The sequence below is a fragment of the Homo sapiens genome, chromosome 9 (assembly GCF_000001405.40).
Source record: "Homo sapiens chromosome 9, GRCh38.p14 Primary Assembly".
NCBI classification, from domain to species: domain Eukaryota; kingdom Metazoa; phylum Chordata; class Mammalia; order Primates; family Hominidae; genus Homo; species Homo sapiens.
Window position 1 is genome coordinate 113,348,813 of NC_000009.12, and position 24,043 is coordinate 113,372,855.

At 46.9% G+C, this 24,043-nt stretch overlaps 1 protein-coding gene across 4 annotated transcripts, besides 5 other annotated features; it reads left to right on the forward strand.

The window, feature by feature from the left end:
* Positions 697 to 766: a silencer, noted in NCBI's record as "silent region_20199". NCBI's record gives its function as "represses an Ori minimal core promoter by ATAC-STARR-seq in GM12878 lymphoblastoid cells {active_cell/tissue: GM12878}" and the evidence as "EXISTENCE:reporter gene assay evidence [ECO:0000049][PMID:35858748]".
* BSPRY (B-box and SPRY domain containing) lies at positions 729 to 22,410 on the forward strand. Of its 4 annotated transcripts, none has more exons than NM_001317943.2 (6): positions 729 to 968; positions 5,428 to 5,526; positions 11,695 to 11,940; positions 13,557 to 13,582; positions 19,447 to 19,571; positions 20,804 to 22,410. In NM_001317943.2, the coding sequence occupies exons 1-6, from the start codon at positions 768 to 770 to the stop codon at positions 21,328 to 21,330; spliced, it is 1,224 nt and encodes a 407-aa protein (NP_001304872.1). In that variant the 5' UTR covers positions 729 to 767; the 3' UTR covers positions 21,331 to 22,410. The 4 variants fall into 4 exon arrangements, with proteins under 4 accessions (NP_001304872.1, NP_060158.2, XP_006717212.1 ...); NM_017688.3 differs by having other exon boundaries at positions 11,695 to 11,925; XM_006717149.4 differs by having other exon boundaries at positions 11,695 to 11,925; positions 13,560 to 13,582.
* Positions 797 to 1,076: a silencer, noted in NCBI's record as "silent region_20200". NCBI's record gives its function as "represses an Ori minimal core promoter by ATAC-STARR-seq in GM12878 lymphoblastoid cells {active_cell/tissue: GM12878}" and the evidence as "EXISTENCE:reporter gene assay evidence [ECO:0000049][PMID:35858748]".
* Positions 3,704 to 3,753: a silencer, noted in NCBI's record as "silent region_20201". NCBI's record gives its function as "represses an Ori minimal core promoter by ATAC-STARR-seq in GM12878 lymphoblastoid cells {active_cell/tissue: GM12878}" and the evidence as "EXISTENCE:reporter gene assay evidence [ECO:0000049][PMID:35858748]".
* Positions 20,606 to 21,106: an enhancer, noted in NCBI's record as "H3K4me1 hESC enhancer chr9:116131698-116132198 (GRCh37/hg19 assembly coordinates)". NCBI's record gives its function as "activates a minimal SCP1, AML or CMV promoter by ChIP-STARR-seq in naive and primed H9 embryonic stem cells {active_cell/tissue: H9 hESC(naive and primed)}" and the evidence as "EXISTENCE:reporter gene assay evidence [ECO:0000049][PMID:30033119]".
* Positions 21,107 to 21,607: an enhancer, noted in NCBI's record as "H3K4me1 hESC enhancer chr9:116132199-116132699 (GRCh37/hg19 assembly coordinates)". NCBI's record gives its function as "activates a minimal SCP1, AML or CMV promoter by ChIP-STARR-seq in primed H9 embryonic stem cells {active_cell/tissue: H9 hESC(primed)}" and the evidence as "EXISTENCE:reporter gene assay evidence [ECO:0000049][PMID:30033119]".
* Positions 22,411 to 24,043: the final 1,633 nt, after the last annotated feature.

Below are 24,043 nucleotides of genomic sequence, written 5' to 3' on the forward strand. Positions count from 1 at the left end.
ATATTCAAATTCAAAAAGTTTGGATGTAAATACTTTGGGAAAATCAGCCTAATACAGATATTTCTCACTGGGCCTCAATGTTCAATTTAAAAAATTATTAATTATAGTAACCTTAAGTCACACTGCCTAGGTTCCAATCTCATAGCTACCAATTAGTAACTGTGACCCTTGGCAAGCCACTTAACTTCCATAAAAATGGGATCCTAATAGTACTTTCCTCGCACTGTTAGTAGACACTTAGCGATTGCAGCTGCTATGTTCCAGATATTGTTTTACGTATTTAGCGTATTTACTCCTCAGACGTCTGGGAGGCAGGTACTCTCACCCCATTTTACAGCTGGAGTTCCCACCCAGTGAGCAGCCAAACGGGATTTGAACCAGGCAGTTTCTCAGCAGAGCCTTGCTTGAAGCTAGGCATCTAAAGCTGCCTCTCAAAAAGGGCAGTGGTCGGGATTACATAACAGAACGCTTGCAAAGCTCTCAGCGAAAGCCTGGCACTTAATAAGTGCTCAATAAAGTTTCCTACGGTCACAGTAATATTTGGAGTTTTATGTTTGTTGTAGAACAAATACGCATACAATCGCGATTTCATTCAACAAGGAATTTAAAGAGACCTGCTGCCCCGGGCGGGATGGGAGCGCGGGTTGGGTGGGAGGAGGCGCAGCTGCGGGGCGCGCTGGCGCACCGGGAGGGCCGGGGGCGGGGTCAGCCAGGCCCCGCCCGCCGCCACCTGCGACAGGTGGAGCGCACGGGGCGGGCGCACGGCCATGTCCGCCGAGGGCGCGGAGCCGGGGCCGGGGTCCGGGTCCGGGCCCGGGCCGGGGCCACTCTGCCCCGAACACGGCCAGGCTCTGAGCTGGTTCTGCGGCTCCGAGCGACGGCCCGTGTGCGCCGCCTGCGCGGGGTTGGGCGGTCGCTGCCGGGGGCACCGCATCCGCCGGGCGGAGGAGCGCGCCGAGGAGCTGCGGGTGAGCGGGTGTGGGCGCCGGAAGGCGAGGGCTCCGGAGACCCCGGGCGCGCCTGGCGGGACCCGGCAGGGACTGGGGAGCCTGGGGCTGGGCGGACTCGACACCCGGCCCCGGAGCCTAGGCTCCTCGGTGGCTTTGGCTGTAGGACTAGGCGGTTAAGGGTGTGGCCTCTGAAGTCAGGCTGGCCTGAGTTCGAATCTACTCCCTGTGAGTCACGTAACTCTGAGCCTCAGTGTCTTCATCTGTAGTTTGGGGACAACAACAATAATAATAGCGCGTATTTATTAGAGTTGTGAGAAATAAATAAGATAGTGGGTAAAATGCTTAGCGATAAGGGGATCCAGGCTCCCCAGGCCCCTTCCATTGCTCTGTTGAGGAAGCTGGGGCTGGCATGAAAGGCTCAGCTGCTCCAGTTCTCAGCGCAGGGTGTGCCCCAGCTCCCGCCCCTGTGGAAACTGACACTGATAAAATCCAGCGCGACCGTATCCCTTAACCCCTGGACTCAAAGCCCCCCTCCTCCTTTCGCCTCTTCCCCCTGCTCCTAACCCCTTCTGGCTTCTGGTGCGGTGATCTCTTTTTCGCTTTCAGGATTGGCCTTGACTGTACTTCAGGCTGGTTTAAGGGCTTCAGCTGGATAAACGGTGGGGGTAGGGAGAATATCAGGGGATTCCCCTTCACCCAGGCTTTCTCGCCACCTCCACTTCCAGCTCGGCTCCAGGGTGGCCACCTCCTTGTCATCACCATTCTCCTGAGCTGCTGAGATTGGGAGAGTCGAAGTCACCTTGGGCTTCTCTGTGGCCCCTGGGGATTTCCTTGCAATTTGATTAAACAGCTTGTTTCTCCCAACCCGACTCTGCAGTTCACCCCTGCTGTGAAGCCTGAGGGCTCTGGCTGGGGACTTCGCCTACCCAGAGTGACCTGTAATAAACACATCTTATATAGGGTGCTGGGCTCGGGAGGGGTTCAGTTTTTCAGCAACACCCAAAAGCTCCTGGTTCGTCCTACCTGTTACCTCTATCAACAATAATGATGACAAAAATAAACCTGGATAACGCGGTGTAATCAACTTGCATAATGGACAAAAAAATTTGCAAACTCCAAAGTACTTAAATGTCTGTCATCTCATTCTGTCTTGACCACGCCTTTGAAGGGGTCCTACCTACATTTTACAGATGAGGCACTGGAGGCTCGGAACAAGGCAGTAACTCCTCCAAGCTTCCTAATGTTCAGGGGTGGGACCCAGGGAGTCATTGACTAGGCAAGAGGAAACTGCTGCTTTGCTTCGGCGGTTGGAGGGAGGAAGTGATGCTAATGGGGGTGAGAATGTCATGGAAACCTTAAAAGTAGCTATCAGGACTGGATTTGAGTGGTGGAAAGAGTGAAGCCTCGGGCAGGTGGCAGGCCTGGTGCTAGTTTCGGTACTACCCTAGGGAACCTTCTTTGAACCCCTCTGAGGCCGTATGCATATTTATCTCCTTTGCCTGAAGGGAGGTGGGTCTTACCCTCTCTTCCACCAAATTAGAGTAGATTTCTGTCTTTTGCACATTCCTTCCTCTATCCATCCAGTCAGCAAATAAATCTCACCCTAGGGCAAGATTATTACCAAAACCAGCACCAGTTCTACTGCTCTCCTACCTCTGGATTCCTGCCCTGTGGTTTTTCAGAAGCCTTCTCAGTGCTCTTAGTCCATGGTGCATGGTGATCACAGCTTCCTCCTAGTCAACTCAATTCTGTAACTTTGTATTTGGACCTATGAAATGTAACTAATTTCTACTTCTGGGTGGAAAGATTTACAAGGGCTTCCTGGAAGAGGTAGCTAAGTTGCCTTTTGGCAGATGGAACTGAGGCAGAACTCTTAGGGGGAACAGTGGAGGGACTGCTGCTTGGATAGGCTCTAGGTATCACCTGGAGAAACGGAGAGCAAAAGCAGGGCCCTGGCCCATACCTTCTTGGGGAAGTCACTTCTCTTTGGGCCTCAGCTTTCCCGTTTCTTTCTCTTTCCTTTTTTTTTAAAATTTATTTACTTATATTTATTTATTTTTGAGACAGTCTCACTCTGTCACCCAGGCTGGAGTGTGGAGTGCAGTGGTGCTATTTCAGCTCACTGCAACCTCTGCTTCCTAGATTCAAGAGATTCTCCCACCTCAGCCTCCCGAGTAGCTGGGACTACAGGCGCATGCCACTACGCCTGGCTAATTTTTGTATTTTTTGGTAGAGATGGGGTTTCACCACGTTGGCCAGGCTGGTCTCGAACTCCTGATCTCAGGTGATCCGCCCACCTCAGCCTCCCAAAGTGTTGGGATTACAGGTGTGAGCCACCGTGCCCGGCCAGCTTTCCCATTTCTAAAACTCCCCTGAGCTCATGGATGATGCTCATAGCTTTGAGAGCCATGAACTGCTGAACCTCTTGTGGTCAAGGCAGTGGGTGTTCGTTCATTCAACAAATATTTATTCAGGGCCTTCTATGTTCAGAAACTCTCTTTGAGGTACTAGGACATAGAGAAGTCAGACTTATGGTGCTTCTGTTCCAGTGGTGGGGGAGACAGATACCCAAAAAGGTAAACAAACACATAATATATAGTCAGAGAGTTATAAGTGCAAGGGAGAAAAATAAAGCAAAGTAAGAGATTGGGTGAGGAGGGAGATGGTCAGGGAAGACCTCTCTGAAGAGATGACATCTGAATGCAGTTGGGGAGTGAGACACACACACACACACACACACAGACTGGTGGAAACGGAACTGCAGGTGCAAAGGCACTGAAGTCAGGACAAGTTTGGTACATTTAAGGAACAGAAAGAAGGCCAGCATGGATAGAGGTAGAAAGTGATGTTGGAGAAATAAGCTGAGTCACATCAGGTGGGGCTAGGTTGGCTAAGCTAAGAAGCCTGATGTCATTGTGAGTGTACTGAAAGCCATTGGAGGGTTTTGAGTAGGGGCATGACCTGGTCTGATTTCCTTACAAAAGGTGGCTCTGGCTAGCTGGGGGGTTGGGGGTGCAGGGTACCCAGTTAAGAGGTTCTAACAGTGGTTCCTGTGAGAGATCATGGCAACCTGGATAGAATAACTGGAGTAGAGGTGACCAGAGGAGAGAGAGAGACTTTGGAGATGGGGTTGATAGGACTCACTAATGGAATTGATGTGGGGTTGGAGACAAACTCCTGGGTTTTTGGTCTGGGTAACAGGTGAATGATTGATGGTGCTGCTTAATGAATGAGGATAACTTGGCAGAGAGCAGTTCTGGACAGAACAGAAGGTATGGACAGTCAGGCAGCTGAGTATGACGGAGGACCAAGAGTGTGTGCGCCAGAAAGTGGTTATAACGGGCTGAGCGTGGTGGCTCACACCTGTAACATCCCAGCACTTTGGGGGGCTGAGGCGGGAGGATTGCTTGAGCCCAGGAGTTGGAGACCAACCTATGCAACATGGCAAAAGTCCATCTCTACAAAAAATGCAAAAAGTAGCCAGGTGTGGTGGCACGTGCCTGTAGTTCTAGCTACTCAGGAAGGACATGGGAGGATCACTTGAGCCTGGAAGGTCAAGGCTGCAGTGAGTCTTGATCATGCCACTGCACTCAGCCTGGACGACAAGCAAGACTCTATCTCAAAATAAATACATAAATAAATTTAAAAAGAAACAAACGCCTGGGTGCGGTGGCTCACACCTGTAATCCCAGCACTTTGAGAGGTCAGGGCGGGCAGATCACCTGAGGTCTGGAGTTCGAAACCAGCCTGGCCAACATGGTGAAACCCTGTCTCTACTAAAAATACAAAAATTAGCTGGGTGTGGTGACACACACCTGTAATCCCAGCTACTTGGGAGGCTGAAGCAGGAGAATCGCTTGAACCTGGGAGGTGGAAGTTGCAGTGAGCCGAGATCGCACCACTGCACTCCAGCCTGGGCAACCGAGTGAGACTCTGCCTCAAAAAATAAATAAATAAAAAAAAATAAAAATAAACACAAGACAAAATGGACTTTAAGGCAAACATAGTACTAAAGATAAAGTCACTTAGAGAATGTGCAGTTCACCAGCAACATATAATGATTCTAATCTTAAATGTTTCTAAATAATATAGCCTGAGAATATTCATAGAGCAAAAATTTGTTTTAAAGTTATTATAATGATAGGCTGGGGTTCTGGGATGAAGACGGAGGTGAGGTCACAGAAGGGGATGATGGACAGTGAAAGGTAGTCCCACTAGTGTGTTGGTGGCCTCAACTGAGCTGTTGCTGGAATAGGTATCCTAGAATTAGGGAGTGAGAAGGATAGGGCATGGTGGGGAGAGTGTGGATCCTTGAAATGGAGATTTAGGAGGTGGTACAGTTTTTGATAATGATGAGATCTGGGCTATGACCATGGGAGTGGGTGGCTGACATGTGGTAACAGGAGAAAATCACTGGGATGGAGTGAATGGCTCAGGTACATGGACCAAGATGCCACAAGCGTTGTTTGTGTTGCAGAACAAGATTGTGGACCAGTGTGAGAGGCTGCAGTTACAGAGTGCTGCCATCACCAAGTATGTGGCGGACGTCCTGCCGGGGAAGAATCAAAGAGCAGTGGTAATTCCTCTTCTTTCCTCTCTACTCAGCCCCCTCCCAGGATAAGGCCTTAGACTTAGGGACTTGGGCAAGTCTAGGGTCCCTTACCAACCTCACAGACTCATTGTGCTACTAGCAAAGCTTCTCATCCCTCAGAGACTCAATTTTACCATCTGGGCAGGGTGGGCTTGTTCCTGTACCATACTTGGTGCAAAGACTCTGCTAGCAAATGACTTTCTTGGGTATCTTGGCATAGGGGATCAAGAAGGGTCGTATTCTTCTACCATCTGGTCATTTTCTGCCCAGCTGCAGAATTATAAAATAACCTAGGACTTTTACATTGAATATTCTCTGTGACAATCTTATGAAGTAGATAGCAGTAACATCCCCATTTACAAATAGGAAAATGGGTCCTTATAGAGGTTAAAGAGGTTAACTGACCTGTCCAAGGACCCCATAGCCTCCTGGCAGTCGGTTCTGTGACCTGGATCTTCTGTCTCCTAGGCTAGTGCTCCTTCTGCTGCATCCCACTGCTGATTCTTTTTTTTAATTTTTTTTCTTTTTGAGATGGGGCCTCACTCTGTTGCCCAGGCTGGAGTGCAGTGGTGTGATCTTGGCCCACAGTAACCCCTGGTTCAAGCAATTCTCCTGCCTCAGCCTCCCAAAGTGCTGGGATTACAGATGCCTGCCACCATGAGTGGCTAACTTTGTAAATTTTTAGTAGAGACGGGGTTTTACCATATTGACCAGGCTGGTCTCGAACTCCTGGGCTTAAGCCAACCTCCCTCCTTGGCCTTCCAAAGTACTAGGATTACAGGTGTGAGCCGCCATGCCTGGCCTCCACTGCAGATTTTTTTATTCAGTGGACTCATTACCACTGCTGTGTCATCACTTTCAAGTATGCCTATCAGGGGCAGAGCCTATGAATTTCTTTCTGCATATCCCCTCCCTCCTTTCCCTATAGTACACGGAACAGACTTGGTACCACATTAGTCAGAGTTCTTTTAATTGCATGGAACAGAACCCAGTTGAACAAGTATAAGCAAAATGGGGCATTTCCTGACAGGACACTAGGGGTCCTCTTAGGACCTAAAAGGGGCTAGACCAGGAACCAGAAAGCTGCTAGGAGTCCAGGCAGCTACTTGGTGCCCATCTATGCTTTGCTTTTGCATGATGGTCTCCATCTCCCTCCCCTGCCCTCTTCCCCTCTTCTTCTTTATCCTTTTTATTTTCTTGTCTTACTGCACTGGTTATGACCTTAGTACTGTGTTAAATAGAAGCTAGTGTGGCAAATCCTGGCTTTTTTTTTTTTTTGAGACAGAGTTTCACTCTTGTTGCTCAGACTGGAGTGCAATGGCGCGATCTCGGCTCACTGAAACCTCCGTCTCCTGGGTTCGAGCGATTCTCCTGCTTCAGCCTCCCGTGTAGCTGGGATTACAAGCGCCCACCACGACACCCAGCTAATTTTTTGTATTTTTAGTAGAGATGGAGTTTCACCATGTTGGCCAGGCTGTTCTTGAACTCCTGACCTTAGGTGATCTGCCCACCTCGGCCTCCCAAAGTGCTGGGATTACAGGCGTGAGCCACTGTGCCTGGCCCGACAAATCCTGACTTTAAGAGGAAAGCTACCAATATTTCACCAGTTATTTATTTAACAAATCTTTATTGAGCACCTACCATGTGCCAGATACTGTTGTTCAATGGGTTAGGCATTCTCCAGTGAACAAAACAGAAATTCCTATTTTCATGAAGCCTACATTCTTGTCACAGAAGAGGGACAGTAACAAAATCTATGTTATGTCCGAAGGTGATATGTGCTATGGGGAAATATAAAACAGAAAGGGGAATAGGACGGGTTGCAATTACATGTGCTGTGACCAGGAATGACTTCATTAAGAAGGTTGAGGCTGGGCGCAGTGGCTCATGCCTGTAATCCCAGCACTTTAGGAGGCTGAGGCGGGTGGATCACGAGGTCAGGAGTTCCAGACCATCCTGGCTAACGCGGTGAAACCCCGTCTCTACTAAAAATACAAAAAAATTAGCAGGGCATGGTGGCGGGCGCCTGTATTCTCAGCTACTTGGGAGGCTGAGGCAGGAGAATCACTTGAACCCGGGAGGCGGAGGTTGCAGTGAGCTGAGACTGCGCACTGCACTGCAGCCTGGGCAACAGTGCGAGACTCTGTCTCAAAAAAAAAAGAAAGAAACACTTTGGCTGCTATGTTTAGAAGTGATTATAGGCGGCAAAGGTTAAAGCAGGGAGACCAGTTAGGAAGCCATTGTAATAATCCAGGTGGGAAACAAGTGTGGTCTGGACCCAAGCAATGGTGGCAAAGCTAGTGAGAAGTGGCTAGATTCTGCATATATTTTGAAGAGGCAACAGGATTTGCTGATGGACTAGATGTAGGCTATGAAAGAAAGAGGGGAGGTGTCAGGATAATGCTGAAGTTTTTTTATTTGAGCAACTGGCAGGATGGAGCAGCCATGAACTGGGTGGGGGAAGGACTGCATGTGGAGTGATGGTTGGCGGAGGCAGGGAGGGGAGTGGGGGAGAGCAGGCATGCTAAGTTGTTGTGGGCATGTTATGTTTGAGATACCTATTTGACATCCAAGTGAAGGTGCTGAGTAGGTAGCTGCATATATGAGTTGGGAGAGGGCTGGGTTGGAGATATAAATTTGGGATTTATCAGTGTATAAATAGTATTGAAAGCCGTGGGAGAGGATGACATCACTAAGTGAATGAGTGTAGACACGAAAGAGCAGCGGTCCAAAGACTGAGCCCTAGGGCACTTCACCTCCTATTGAGAAGACAGAAGGAACCAGCGAACGGGGACCAAGAAATCAGCTAATGAAACGGAAGTAAACTAAGAGAGCAGAGTGTCCCAGCATGGGTTCCAAGGAGGTGGGAGAGATCACTGCTCTCAAATGGTGTATATTTATTTAACTATCTTATCACAGGCATAGATTCATGTGATTACTACCACAATTAAAATACAGAACAGTTCCATCACTAGGACTCCTTGTGCTACCCTTTTATAGCCACATGTACCCTTTCCTATCCCCTTGTATTATTAATACAAAATTTCTGAATTTGGATTGCTAATCTCAGTAAAGCATTTTTTATTTTTGTTTTAGGATTTTTGCTTGTATGCTCAGGAGTGAGATTAGTCTATGAATTTCATTTCTTGTACAGTCCTCATCAGATTTGGTATCAAGGTTATGTGAGCCTTATTCAATGGATTGGAAAACAGAACTCTTTTTTCTTAAGGGTTTACTTAAGATAAAGTTGTTCTTAGTTTTGATCAAAGTTGCCACAGGTTTGACTGTTAGTCTTTAGAACCAGCTTCTAGTATTTTTGGTCTACTCTTTTGTATCTTTGTCTTAATTTCATTATTATTTCTTTCTCTTTTTTTAGACAAAGTCTCACTCCATTGCCCAGGCTGAAATGCAGTGGCGCAATCATAGCTCACTGCAGCCTTGAACTCCTGGGCTCAAGTGATCCTGCTGCCTTGGCCTCCCAAACTGCTTGGATTACCAGCATGACCCGGTACTGTGCCTGGCCTGTAGAGTTCTATATATATATATATATATATATATATATATATATATATATATATATATATATATATCTCTATTAAGCTTATTCATTGGGCTGAGCATGGTAGCTCATGCCTATAATCCCAGCACTTTGGGAGGCCAAGGCCAGGAGGATCACTTGAACCCAGGAGTTCGAGACTGTTTTGGGCAATATAGCAAGACCCTATCTCTACAAAAAATTAAAAAATTATCCAGACATGATGGCATGGGCCTATAGTCCCAACTATTTGGGAGGGTGAGGTGAGAGGATCACTTGAGCCTAGGAGTTTGAGGCTGCAGTGAGCTATGATTGCATCACTGCATTCTAGCCTGGGTGACAGAGCGAGACCCTGTCTCAAAAAACAAAAAATAAAAACCTCTTTTTTTTTCTTTTTTGAGACAGAGTCTTGCCCTGTCACCCAGGCTGGAGTGCAGTGGTGCGATCTCAGCTCACTGCAGCCTCCACCTCCCAGCTTCAAGCAATTCTCCTGCCTCAGCCTCCTGAGTAACTGGGATTACAGGCTCCCACCACCAGGCCCAGCTAATTTTTGTATTTTAGTAGAGGCGGGGTTTCACCTTATTGGCCAGGTTGGTCTTAAACTCCTGACCTTGGGTGATCCACCTGCCTCAGCCTCCCAAAGTGCTGGGATTACAGGTATGAGCCACCGTGTCCAGCCACAACCACACTTTTAAAAGGATGCTTGGGCTATTTTTCCAGCATTTCTCTACTTTATTCTGAGAGGGTTTTTGGTTTGTCTACTCTCTGTCATGTGTTTGGAAAGGGAAGTTTTTCTTTTCTTTGCTCTCCTTTTCTGGGAATGGCTCAACAAACTTGTTGAGAATGACTAGAGTCTTTTAGGCAGGAATCAGAATCTGATTCATCTTGGGTGAGGATCTGTTTTGATCCAGGATCACACAGTACAACCATGGTTTCAGGGGCTCACCCTGTGGGTAAGGCATTAAAGTGGGATAAACAGGAGAATAATCGTGGGCTGGATGCAGTTGCTCATGACTGTAATCCCAGCACTTTGGAAGACTGAGGCAGGAGGATCGCTTGAGCCCAGGAGTTCAAAGCTGCAGTGAGCTATGATTGTGCCACTGCATTTCAGCCTGGGCATCAGAGCAAGACTGTGTCTCTTAAAGAAAAGAAAAGAAAAGAAAAAAAAAAGATAAAGAAGAGCAATAGTGAATGAATGTTATTGAACACATAATGTAGCAGGCTTTGTTCTACTTACTTTATATATATTAACACATTTAACCCTCACTATAGCCTTATGAGGTAGGTACTATTATTATCCTCATTTTACAGATTAGAAAATAGAGGCATAGGGAAGATAAGGAATATGTTCTAAGTTCCACAGCTAATGAGCGGAGCAGTTAAGATTTAAATCTACACACTACCTCTAAAGCTTAATTTCCTGACCACTATGTTATGTTGCCTCAAGAGCACACTATAAACTTGGAGTCTTACCTTCTGGGTTCACTTGCCATTCACTTAGCTAGTCTCTCCTCCCTGTAAGGCAAACTGTGGGTCTCAGTGTTTTCTGTAAAATAGGAATGATTGCCCTGTGCACTGTACAAAGCAGGTCTTAAGGGACAGGGCATAGGGAAAGCTGCTGGCTGTCCCTGACTTTCTGACATGAAGGAGGCAGTTCTATTCCCACTTGTCTGGCAAGAGTACAAGTGCAGCTGCCTTATGCAACAGGTGCCTTTGGGAAGGATTGGTTGCCAGGTGGCATCTGGTGTAGGGGAATGGGACTGGACTGAGAGTCAAGAGAATTGGGTTCGAGTCTCAGCTTTGCTACTGAATTGCCATGTGAGCACTATGAAGAGATCTTTTACTAAGTCAGAAAAAATTTCCTGGGTGGGCACAGTGGCTCATGCCTATAATCCCAGCGCTTTGTGGGGCTGAGTTGGGCTTATTTATTGAGCCTAGGAGTTTGAGACCAGCTTGGGCAACATGGTGAAACTCCATCTCTATTAAAAAAAATTTAAAAAAAAAAATTTCCCATTCAGTCAATATTTGAGTACCTACTGCATGCCAGGCACTGTGCTAAGAATTACAAGAAGACACCTGTTAATTGTCTGAGAATTGATTTCAGGCCTCTTCTGTGGCAGATAAAAATTCTACCACATAACCAGTTGAAATGGACAGTTTTAGGAAGTCATCAGTTTTTTCCCTCAAACATGGTGAAATATCAACTGTACCACTGCTGGTATGGATCCTGCTGATGGGGATGACTTTTTAGGCCCTCTGCTCTGCAATTCTGTGATTCTCTGACCTTGATCCTTTGACCTTGTATTCCCAACTGTGATTAAGCAGAGTATTCTAGTTGGGCTCTAAGTCCTGCCCAGGTCTTCCATTATGTGATCATGGCTCCCTGAGATATGGCCTATGTGTCTGCATCTCAAATTTCTTTACCCTAAACCATATTTGGGAAGTCTTGGGGCAGAGATGTCAAAGTAAAAGGCTTACATGCTATTATTTCCATTACTAAGCCCGTGGCAGACATTGCTAATCAATCTCAACACTCCTTTCCACTGAGCCTAAACCCTCTTAAATCCTGACCGGGGCTTTGCACAGACCACCCAACTCCTCATTTTATCCCTCATTAGAGCATGGCCAGTGCAGCGAGGGAACTGGTTATCCAGCGGTTGAGTCTGGTGAGGAGTCTTTGCGAGAGCGAGGAGCAGCGGTTACTGGAACAGGTGCATGGCGAAGAGGAGCGGGCCCACCAGAGCATCCTGACACAGCGGGTGCACTGGGCCGAGGCGCTGCAGAAACTTGACACCATCCGCACTGGCCTGGTGGGCATGCTTACTCACCTGGATGACCTCCAGCTGATTGTAAGTCAGGCAAGGGTGAGGGCATGACCAGTTGGCCAGGCTCCCCAAAAGCCTGAAAATATCGAGAATGTTTGTCGGTATGAGGAGGGTGGAAATGAGAATTTGGAGCAGGGATGAGTGACAAAGATTCTTTGCTTGGCCAAACTTTAGTCAGGCTTCTGAGCCTTCTCCCAGGCCCATCTGTGCACTTCATTATAAAATCCAGTTTTTGCAAAATAACCCTGCTAAGTCAGTGTAGCCAGAAACCCCCATCCTTGATATCTGATCATCCTTGATATCTGATCAGGTTCCTCATCCACCACCATCCCCTAGGTGATGTCTGATCACTGTGTTCTGTCTGCAGCAAGAATCCTGTTAGGTAGGTTTAGCCATAATCCCCCTTACCCCCAATGTTTCCTCTTAGTAATTTTCCATCCACTAACCCCCAACCCTGCTCCTTAGCTATAAATTCCTACCTGCCCACGCTGTATTCAGAGTTGAACCCAGTCTCTCTCCCATTGCAAGACCCCATTGCAATGAGGTCTTGAATAAAGTCTGCCTTACTGTGCTCTAACAGGTATCATTGAATAATTTCTTCTCTGACATGAGGCAAGGGAATAAAACTATGTTTCTTTGGCACTGATAATAGTTTTCTTTTGATAGTGAGTCATTGTATACTGAGTGCCTATTATATGTGAAGCACTGTGCTATGGGGCAGAGTAACGAGATGCAGCTGTCAGCTGCTCCCAGCCTTACAAAGGAGACAAATACACTGGCTGACAATTAGGATATGGAAGGATATGTGCTATGGTAGAGGAACTCACCCATGCTAGGGACGGACAATCCAGGCTAGGGGAAAGAGGGGTCAGGGAAGGTTCCCGGATGAAGCGACTTAGAAGCTGATGCCTGAAAGATAAGAAAACTAGCTGTGTCAAAGGAAGTGAGGAGGTGGAAAGAGTTCAGGAGCATGTAGAGAGAACACTGTGCTCCGGGGAGCTGACAAGGTCTTCGATATGAAAACACAGAGCTCATCCTTAATCCTACCACCCAGAAATCACCATGATTCATATTTGGTACATAGCCTTTCAAAGTATTTTATATAGATAGGCAGCTGCCTGCAGTTTTGAGGGGAGAAGGTGGCATCTGAGTCACAAGCAGAGGAAAGAGAATGTGGAACACCTGAGCTGTCCCACTGCCTCTGCAAGTAGGGCAGTTTCTATGACTGCTCGAAACTGTGCATTCATTTAGTCACAGCATCCATGGACAGAGCATGCTCTTTCACAGACACTGGGACAGTCACAATAGAAGACTCAGAAAGAGTCGCAGCCGTCCAGGAGCTAACAGTCTTCATGGGAGATGCTGTTGGGTGAACAGGCGATGGTCCTGAGTGGAGTTGAGGGGAATCCAGGATGCCCTGGGACATGGGGTAGAGTGATTCATTCTGAGCATGTGTTATGGGTGTGTGTGTGTGTGTGTGTGTGTGTGTGTGTGTGTGTGTAGAATAGCCTAGAAAGCTTTATGCTGGTCTTAAAGACTAGAAGTTTTTATTCTAGAGTCCACATGGAGCCCTTTCTGGTAGTTAAATCTGTCTTAGCATTGACTCCCTGCTGGGTATCTGGTGCCAAGCTTGACTTTGTTTTCTTTTCTCACAGCAGAAGGAGCAAGAGATTTTCGAGAGGTGAGTATAGACCCCGTGATTTGACTGGGTAGTCTTGGAGACCCTTAGACCTCTTCACACTCCACTGCCTTCAGCCCTGCTGCTCTTGGGAGAATGCACAGGGTGTGCAGCTGAGTGGCTTTTCTGGAGCCTGGCTCTGTGGACAGGGAATGTCTCTGCCCTTGGCTTAGAGAACTGCTTTAAAACACATGGAAAGGCAGTGGAATACTTAGTAATCCAAGGCTTGCCACTGCTTTCTTAAACTTCCTCTGTAAAAAGGTAGTCACCCTGTTGGAGGGTTTTACCACCTCCATGTGCAGATGAAAATGTTGAGATTCTAAAAGGGGAAGGGATCTCCCTAAGCCTGGAACCAGGGGTTGGACCCATCTAACACCTGCCCCGGTACTGTTGCCTCTGCCTCACTTCTCCTTTCCCTGATGGAGGAATCTTTGAAACTTAAGTCTGCATTACCATTCAGATTTTGCATTTTAGCTCTTCAGTAATAAAAGAATTTCACCAGGTCCTGCCTGAGTTCTAAAAGAGCTGAGGGCCTGAGGAAGTGGCCAAGAGGACATAATTTGCCAGGCAGAGTAATTCACAAACCTTCTGTGTGAAATTTCAGAGTTATACTTAGGGAACACAGTCCATTCTTCTTATTTATTTACTTATTTTTCTGTATTTCAATGGGTATAAATTATTTATTTTTATATTGAAGTTTCAATAGTAATACATGTGCATGAGAGAAAAAAAATCCACCAATATAAAGCCATTTAAAATGAAAAATGAATCTTGCTGGGCATGGTGTCTTACACCTGTAATTCCAGCACTTTGGGAGGCCAAGGCAGGATGGTAGCTTGAAGCTAGGAGTTTGAGACCAGCCTGGGCAATACAATAAGACCTGATATCTACAAAAAAAAAATTAGCCATGCTTCGTGCTGAGAGCCTATAGTCCCAGCTTCTCAGAAGGCTGAGACAGGAGCATCACTTGAACCTGGGTGGTTGAGGCTACAGTGAGCTGTGCTCACACCACTGCACTCAGCCTGGGCAACAGAGTAAGACCCTGTCTCAAAGAAAAAGAAAAAAGAAAAAGAAAAATGAGTCTGCATTACCCTTTCCCAATCCTATTCCCTGACAGTGATGGGTTTGAACAGATGTGCATTTGTGGACTTATATATAGTCATAGGAGGGTATGTGGCGGTTTTTTGGTTGTTGTCTTAAAAATGTTTTTTAGGCCCGGTGGCTCATGCCTATAATCCCAGCACTTTGGGAGGCCGAGGAAGGTGGATCACTTGAGGTCAGGAGTTCAAAACCAGCCTGGGCCAAGATAGTGAAATCCTGTCTCTACTAAAAATACAAAAATTAGGTGTGGTGGTGTGTGCCTGTAGTCCCAGCTACTCAGGAGGCTGAGGCAGGAGAATCTCTTGAACCCAGGAGGCGGAGGTTGCAGTGAGCTGAGATGCGCCACTGCACTCCAGCCTGGGTGACAGAGTGAGACTCCACCTCAAAAAAAAAAAAAAAAAAAAAAAAAAAAAAAGCTGGGCGTGATGACTCACGCCTGTAATCCCATCACTTAGGGAGGCCTAGGCAGGCAGATCGCTTGAGGTCAGGAGTTCACAACCAGCCTGGCCAATATGGCGAAAGAAACCTATTAAAAATACAAAAATTAGCTAGGTGCGGTAGCGTACCCCTGTAATCTCAGTTACTGGGGAAGCTGAGGCAAGAGGATCACTTGAGCCCAGGAGGCGGAGGTTATAGTGAGCTGAGAGCCTGCCACTGCACTCCAGACTGGGTGATGGGAGTGAAACCCTGTCTCAAAAAAAACAAAAAAATCAAAACACAGATAGGATCATTTTATACCTGTTGTTGTGAAACTTGTTAGGCTATCTGGGACATCTTTCCACATCAGTACATTTACATTCACGTCACTTTTTTGAAAGTTTGTGAAATATTGCAGTGTAGACGGATCATATTTATTTTACTGTCTCCTAACGCATGCTTGGCTTGTTCCCACTTCTCCCCTTGTACAATCTTTTCACACTTCTGCCCATCTTCTCTATCTCCTTTATCTTTGTCATCTTCCTTTAATACAGTGTGTCCTTAATATCAAGCTGATCTGATTTTTTAATTGATCTTTAATTTTTTATTCAAATGATTCATTTATTCAAATGATTTCAAACTTAGAAAAAAGTTGCAAAGGTAGTATAACGAGCTTCACGTAGAAAATATCAATTGTTGACATTTTGCCACATTCATTGTCGCTCGTTCTCTCTGTCTTCCTATTTATCTATCTAGTATATATGTTAGAAACTTATTTTTTTATGGTATATTTGAGGGTAAATTCCAGAAAACATGAATTTTTCTTTCAAGATACTTCAGCATGTTTCTCCTAGAAACAAAGACATTCCCTTACATCACCCCAGTGTAAATTAAGGAAATTTAACATTGATATAATACTATAATCTAATACACAGTCCATATCCAACTGTTGCCAATTGTGCAAAAGTTCTTAATAGTGTTTTATTTTGTTTTCCTAATTCAGCTGTCTTTTTAAGTCTAGAATTATTCCTTAGCTTGTTTTTTTTTTTTTTTTTAACATTTTTAAAGAGTCAAGGCCAGTTTTATAGGATCTCCTTCAGTTGGGTTTATCTGATGTTATCTTATGATTAGATTCAAGTTATACATTTTTAGCAGGAATACTTCATAAGTGATCTGTCTTCAGTTCATCATATCTGGGGGCACATGATGTCCCTTTGTCCGTTATCAAGGATGTCAATTTTGAGCACTTGGATGTCTGCCAGGTTTCCTCATTATAAAGTTATGCTTTTCCTTTTATAATTAATAAGCAGTCTGTGAGGAGACACTTTCTGCATATATATCCTGTGTCCCTTCAGACTTTCTCCCAATAGTTTTAGCATCCATTGGTCACTCCTGCCTGAATTATTCCTTTTATTTGCTTGTTTGTTCCCTTATTCAATATTAATACAGACTGATGGATTCTTATTTTATTCAGTGCATTATAATCTGTCACTGTTATTACTAATTTTGACATTCAGACTGTCCCAGATTTGGCCTGTAGAAGCCCTTTCAAGCTGGACCCTGTGTCCTTTTGAAAAGTTCCCATCATTCTTTGAGCACTTTCTTGCTCTCTTTCACAAGAAGCACAAGAAGAAAACCCCAGCTCAACTTGTGCTTTTCCTGCCCCTGAATCAGCTGCTTCTCCAGGGCACCTGGTTGTTTTTAGTGGAGAATGATATTTAGAAACCAAGATCTGAGCATTAAGGGTACTCAGTGACCTTGCTTCTAGGCCTCACTCAGCTCACTCAGCATATAGCAGATGGAACTAGGAAGGGAGAAAGAGAAAGAGAGAGAGAGAGAGAGTGTGTGTGTGTGTGTGTAGCTGTTTGATGCATGAGTTTGTGTCACAGCTTCTTTTTTTTTTTTTTTTTTTTGAGATGGAGTCTTACTCTGTCACTTAGGCTGGAGTGCAGTGGCGCAATCTTGCCTCACTGCAACTTCCACCTCCTGGGTCCAAGCGATTCTCCTGCCTCAGCCTGCCAAGTAGCTGGGATTACAGGCATGTGTCACCACACCCAGCTAATTTTTGTAATTTTAGTGGAGACAAGGTTTCACCATATTAGCCAGGCTGGTCTCGAACTCTTGACCTCAAGTGATCCTTCCACCTCAGTCTCCCAAAGTGCTGGGATTACAGGCATAAGCCACCATGCCCAGCCTGTATCACAGATTCTAATTCCAATGTAACACCTCAAGGTTTTTCCTTTGCCCTCTCCCTTTCTACATTTGTACCTTTTGTTATTTTACAGTGAGGACTCCAGCCCCCAACAACATCAGTATTTGCTCAGTCCTACAATACATACAAAGTTGTCCGAGCATTGCTAAGCCCATACTACTATTGAAAGGCCTATCCATAGAGTTCCAGATTTGTCTGTAGTTCTTTATGCCCCCAGGCTGAGCGAATATACTCTCAAAGTAGTGTTCAAAAGTTGTGAAGCCCCATCTAGCCGGAAACTCACTTATCTGAGAAGTGCCTTGTTGGCTCTGGTGTTTCCACGCTTGTAGCTGGGCTCAACTCTGACTGGACACTGCAGCAGATCCTGCCGCACCATCTGGGCATTCTGATCCTGGCCAGGGCCTGCTGTGTTCAGGCCCTTTTTCATTTCCACCCCTTTGGGGCCATGAGTTTTGTCTTCGGTACCATAGGGCAGCTAGCCCGGGTGGTTCGCTGTAGACTTCACTATGTTCAGCCTCACATTTGCCCTGGGATGACAGCTTAGCACCGCTGACATCAGCTCCTCTTTCTTCCCCACCTGTTGGCGGGAGCTCCTGCGTTCTGAGAAGATGGCAATAGACCCTCTGTTGTCCTGACCACAAAGAGCCTTTGTTACTAGAGCTTGCTCCCAGCATTTCTAAGGTTCTGTTCACCTTATACCTCCCAAGACAGAACAGTGACAGTCTTGCAAAGAGCCATCAGGGCACATGCCCCACCCCTGTGCCCACTCCATTTATGCACAGAGCCATGAGATATGGGGAGAGAGTGTGTGTACTCGGAACCACTGCCTGATCTCAACGCCATCTTCAGGATTGGAGGCAGTAGGAAAGGTCTTTCTCAGCACCTAGGTCAAAAGGCTGCAAAGCTCCATGGTAAACCCCTACTTTGCCCTATATTCCTTTGAGATTTCACTTCAGGTCAAGGAAAAAATTATGTTGAATGCTGCCTGGGCTTCATCCCAGTTTTGTTCTATTTTTGCATGGAGGCATGACTTGAATCTAGCTCCCCTTTTTAGCTCTGAATCTGTTCTGTCCTGTTAAATCAGATAACCACTACCTCCCAGGTTATAGCAAAGTTGAGGTATGATTCTGTAGAGAAAACAGCAAACCCAGGCCCTCACTGCTGATACATGGCAGTTTTCAACTCCTAGGCATCATATTGTCCCAAAATACCTCTCCAGCAAAACCCAGCCCCCATTGTGAGCTGAGGGGAGAGTTATTGAGAGCACACAGTGCCATGATTCATTTGTGGCTGGGGTGATAACTGATGGCCCTTTCCTCTGTGGACCCCTCAGGTGTTTGCATTTTTAAAGTAGAGGAGTGGCTGTACCTTCTGACAAAACCCAGGGAAACATGACTGCCCCAACAGGTCTGAGAGGGAGGTGAGATATTTTCCAGGCAAGGGCAAGATGTTGGAGTAGAAAGACTATCGTGCAGGGGTTCCAGAGGCCCAGGAGGTCTTAGCCCCAGCTCTGCCATTAACTTACTGAGGGACTCTGGCAAGTTGCTTCCTCTGCAGAGCACACCACCTTCAATTTCTAATACTGGCACCAAGAACACATCTTCCTATAAACTGTCCACCAGCTTTGCTAAAATTAAGGCTTCTGGGGGGCACAGGGGAAATGGCCACCTTCCCTTTTGGCCCAAGCACCTGTGTGGGGCCTGGATGCCACTCTTTTTTTTTTTTTTGAGACAGGGTCTCACTCTGTCACCCAGGCTGGAGTGCAGTGGCATGATCTTGGCTCACTGCAGCCTCGAACTCCTGGGCTTAAGCAATCTTCCCACCTCAGCCTCCCAGGTAGCTGGGACTACAGGTGCATGCCACCACACCCAGCTAATTTTTAAATTTTTTGTAGAGATGGAGTCTTATTATGTTGCCCATGCTGGTCTCAAACTCCTGGGCTCAAGTGATCCTCTCCCACATCAGGCCTTCCAAAGTGCTAGGGTCACAGGGGTGAGCCACTGCACCTGGCCCTAGCTGCCAATCTTGGTATCGCCTGATAGGAGATTTTACTTCTGTTCTTCTCTTCACCCCATATTGATCCAGATATATTTCCAGAACCATCCTGAATCTCTGTCTCTGTTTTTCCCCATATAAGGACCGAAGAAGCAGAGGGCATTTTGGATCCCCAGGAGTCGGAAATGTTAAACTTTAATGAGAAGTGCACTCGGAGCCCACTACTGACCCAACTCTGGGCAACGGCGGTTCTTGGGTCTCTCTCAGGTTAGGAGCAGTAGAGCCCAGGACCATTAGGACAACTGGGCTTCTGTCTGTCTGTCTGGGGTTCACTCCTGGTTCACAATGGGGACCCGTGCTTCTGAGATGATAGCTTAAACAAGTCATGCTGGATGCAGGCTGGTCAGTAGGGTCAAGGTTCCAGACAGGCCTGGGGCAGCTGGGCCAAGTCCTTCCCATTTCCGGACTAACATGTTCTGTGGTTGGGTCAAAGATAAATCTCATTCCTATAAGTCATGTCTTCCTTATATCCTGACCTACTAGGGCAGCCCAGTATTATTTATTGGAAACCTGGGGTTTCTCTTTAAGAAGATAAAATTGATGGCCAACTGAAGAACATCTGGACCAAGAATCAAACTGCCTGATTTGCCTCACTTATTCACTTTACACACACTGACTCAGGCCAACTGTGGGCCCCACCCTGTGCCACATGCTGGGGCCACAGAGGTAAACTGACATGGTCTTCTGCCTCCAGGAATTCCCATTTAGCACAGAGGTTCTCCAGAGCAGGCCTCCTCCAAGTTAGATGGAAGCTTCCATTCTCCCAATGGTAGTCTTTCACAATTCGTGGAACAGTTAGGTTAATAGACTGATTTTTTTTTTTTTTCAGTTTTAATCCTCCCTCCTCGTATTATCCTTACAATTTTGGTAGAAGCTGTAGCTTCTCTACTCTAGATTCTGGTATCAAATGATGCCTGATTTACCAGCAGTTTAGATATTTGCTAGAAATTGCTTATCTCATGCTTCCTAGCTCCCAGAGGCTGTGTTTCTAGGACACGTCCAATCTGGAGGCCACAGATATGACCAAGTAGAAAGAGTATAATCAGTGCTACGTATAGGAACAAAATGTTTTGTCTTCATTTTGCCCCTCCCACCAAGTCAGTGTGTAAACTTGGGCAACTCCCTTTTTCTCTCTGGGCCTTATTTCTATCAGAGTTTACAGTTGAGGGTCTTGACTGATAGTAACTATTGTTATGAAGGCTACAGTTTATAGAGCACTTACATGCTGGGCACTTTACATGTATGATTCTGTTTAATTCTCGTGATCACCCAGTGAGAAGTCCTATTTTGACCCCCGTTTTGCAGACAAGGCTCAGAGAGAGTAAATGGCTTATATGAGGTCACCATGCTAGTGAGTGGTGAGGAACCTTTTGCTACCTGGCAGGACCAGGTTAGGGCAGGGGTGGGCCCTCGGCAACTCTGAGAATTCTTTCTGGCAGGCACAGAGGACATACGGATCGATGAGAGGACAGTCAGCCCCTTCCTGCAATTGTCAGATGATCGAAAGACCCTGACCTTCAGCACCAAGAAGTCAAAGGCCTGTGCAGATGGCCCGGAGCGCTTCGACCACTGGCCCAATGCCCTGGCTGCCACCTCCTTCCAGAATGGGCTCCATGCCTGGATGGTGAATGTCCAGAACAGTTGTGCCTATAAGGTGGGCGTGGCTTCAGGCCACCTGCCCCGCAAGGGTTCTGGCAGTGACTGCCGTCTGGGCCACAATGCCTTCTCCTGGGTCTTCTCTCGCTATGATCAGGAGTTTCGTTTCTCACACAATGGGCAGCACGAGCCCCTGGGGCTGCTGCGGGGCCCAGCCCAGCTGGGTGTAGTGCTGGACTTGCAGGTTCAGGAGCTGCTCTTCTATGAGCCAGCCTCCGGCACAGTGCTCTGTGCCCATCATGTGTCCTTCCCGGGGCCCCTCTTCCCAGTCTTTGCTGTGGCCGATCAGACCATTTCTATCGTCCGCTGACCTCTGGCCACAGGAAGCCAGGTCCACCGCCCACCACCCTTTCAGGCCATGTTTCTACTCAGTGTGCTTTTCCCAAATGATGTGTGTGGTGTTTCTAAGAGAAACAGGGCCCATAACCAGTGGGCAGCTTTAGGAGGGATGGGGATCTGTTTCAGATCTAGGCATAACCTGTAAATCACAGGTGTCCAAACTTTTGGCTTCCCTGGGCCACATTTGAAGAAGAATTTTCTTGGGCCACATAAAATACACTAACGATAGCTGATGAGCTAAAAAAAAAAAAAAAGTCTGTGTATAATTTTTGTGATATCTGCCACCACAGATAAGCAAAAAAGTCCTTGCATTCAAAGGGTTGGAGATTGCTGCTTTGAGTGCTGGGTACCTGTGGGGAACCTACTACTCCCTGGGCCTTAGTCTCCCAAATCCACCATGCATCTGCCCCTCTGAGGGTGTCTTCACTTTGTCTCTGGCATCTAGCATGGTGCCTGGTGCATAGTGAGCATGCAATAAATATTTGGCAGGTGAGTGGATGGATAGATGGATAGGTGAATGTAGGTGGACAGGTGACTGGGTGGATGTTGTGGTCTCTGGAGAAGCACTGCCATTCAGCCTCCTGCTCCAGCTGTTCACATGCAGAAATGCTCTCTTCACAGGCAGAGAAGCCTGTGGCTAAAGTTTCCACATCCCATTAACTCAGTGCTTTTGTCTTTTTCATGACATGGCACATAGAGAAAATATTTTTTTCTAGCACACAAGAGCAACCTGAAAGGCTGCTCCTGGCCAGAGGACTCTGTCCCGGGGGACCGTGTCCTCCCCCATGTCCTGCCTAGGCCCTCAGAGGACCAGGGGATCATGTCTCCAGGTAACCCGACTGTAGCCCCTGCTGGCTGAGCTCCAGCCTGTGCCCACTGATAATAGCAGGGACGGCCTTTTCTCTTAGAGCAGCTGATAAGTTTCCCTACCTGATGGCCCCCTCTGACATAAACTGCACACCTGGGGTGATGGCTTAAAGCCAGAAAGAGCTGAGGGAGTTAAGAGGGCCAACCTTAGGGCACGTGGGCATTATTAAAGGTCTTAAAAGCATTGAAGATTTATTCCATGTTCTTTGTTGATAATTGGGTGTATACTGTACGCTGGCCTGTCTTCATACCCTTATTGCATTCTCGGAAATAAGTGGGTCGCAGCTCAGTGTAGCGGAAAGAGCCTGGAGACATTACCAAGACCCAAGGCAAGTCCCTTTATGTTTGTCTCCATGAGGAGTTCACCCTAGAACAGTGGTCTTCAAACTTTTGTCCAGGAACTCTCTTCAAAAGTAATCTTACCTACAACTTTAGGCTCCTGCGTCCAAAGAAGATGAAAGGCAGAGCCCTCCCCACTTTCTTTGGGAGCTGCAGAGCAGTTTGAAAACCACTGTTTATTAATTTTTTTTTTGAGACAGAGTCTCAAAGGGATGCTGAGGCAGGTGGATCACCTGAGGTCAGGAGTTTGAGACCAGCCTGGCCAATGTGGTGAAACCCCATCTCTACTAAAAATACAAAAAATTAGCTGGGCATAATGGTGCACACCTGTGATCTCAGCCACTCGGGATACTGAGGCAGGAGAATTGCTTGAACCTGGGAGGCGGAGGTTGCAGTGAGCCGAGATCGCAACACTGCACTCTAGCCTGGGCAACAGAGCGAGACTCCATCTCAAAAAAAAAAAAAACAACGAAATTACTGTTGCCTGGCCTTGGTGCCAGTCCCAAGGAAAACAGACCAAAAGGGGTTTGGTCAAGTCCCAAAGAGATCTTCCCTGCCTTTGCCTGGGCACAGCCCCTGCTCAAAAATCTGGGTCAAAGCCAAGGCTTTTCTTGGCACCTGAAGGCCCCCATGCCATTTTCTCCCAATCCACCAACCCAGCTCCTCACAGCAGCCTTCATTCCACAGTTCATCGGCCTGCTGCAGCAATGTCCTCCTCATCCCCCTGCTCATCTAAAGCCACCCCCAATGCCACTACTGAATTCAGCATCCATTCTAGAGCCCTCCCTAGCTGCTGGCACCAGAACACACTGCCAGCCTGTGTTTTTAATGTGTGGTATCCTCTGGCACTGGGCAAGGAACACAGATGTCCAGCAAATACCAAGTAGAACGGTGTGGGAAGGTGGGGAGGCAGGAGAACTTTTTGTTGTTTTGTTTTTAGAGACAGGGTTTCACTCTGTTGCCCAGGCTGAAGTGCAGTGGCACGTAGCTTACTGTAACAGAACTTGTGGGCTCAAGCGATCCTCCTGCCTCAGTCTTCCGAGTGGCTGGGATTAAATGTGTGTGCCAGCACACCAGGCTAGTTTTTACATTTTTTGAAGAGATGGGGTTTCACCATGTTGCCCAGGCTAGTCTCGAACTCTGGGCTCAAGTGATCCTCCTGCCTCAGCCTCCTAAAGTGAAAAAAGGAATTGAAAAACCCAACCTACTTCAACCTCCAGTTCTTCCCCCCTCCCTCCAAACCTATTCCCTACACTGCAGTCCTTGTTCCCCATACTTTCCTACCTCCACACTGGTCTCTGCGACTGGGGTGCCCTTTGAGATTGATATTCTTTAGGACACCTCCCCTATTCTCCCAGAATCTCCACTGTACCACGTTTCACATGACAAGCATCCTCATCTACTTACAACCTAGTGGTCAAGCCAATGGGCTTTGGATTCAGATGTGCCTAAATGGAATCCTGGTGTCTTTGCATGCT

What these genes read in the sequence shown, in the direction of transcription:
- BSPRY (NM_001317943.2), top strand. Translation starts at nt 768, where the DNA reads ATGTCCGCCGAGGGCGCGGAGCCGGGGCCGGGGTCCGGGTCCGGGCCC. An exon ending in GGAAGAATCAAAGAGCAGTG is followed by an intron (nt 5,527 to 11,694) that starts GTAATTCCTCTT and finishes ATCCCTCATTAG; the next exon opens with AGCATGGCCAGTGCAGCGAG. An exon ending in GAGCAAGAGATTTTCGAGAG is followed by an intron (nt 13,583 to 19,446) that starts GTGAGTATAGAC and finishes TCCCCATATAAG; the next exon opens with GACCGAAGAAGCAGAGGGCA.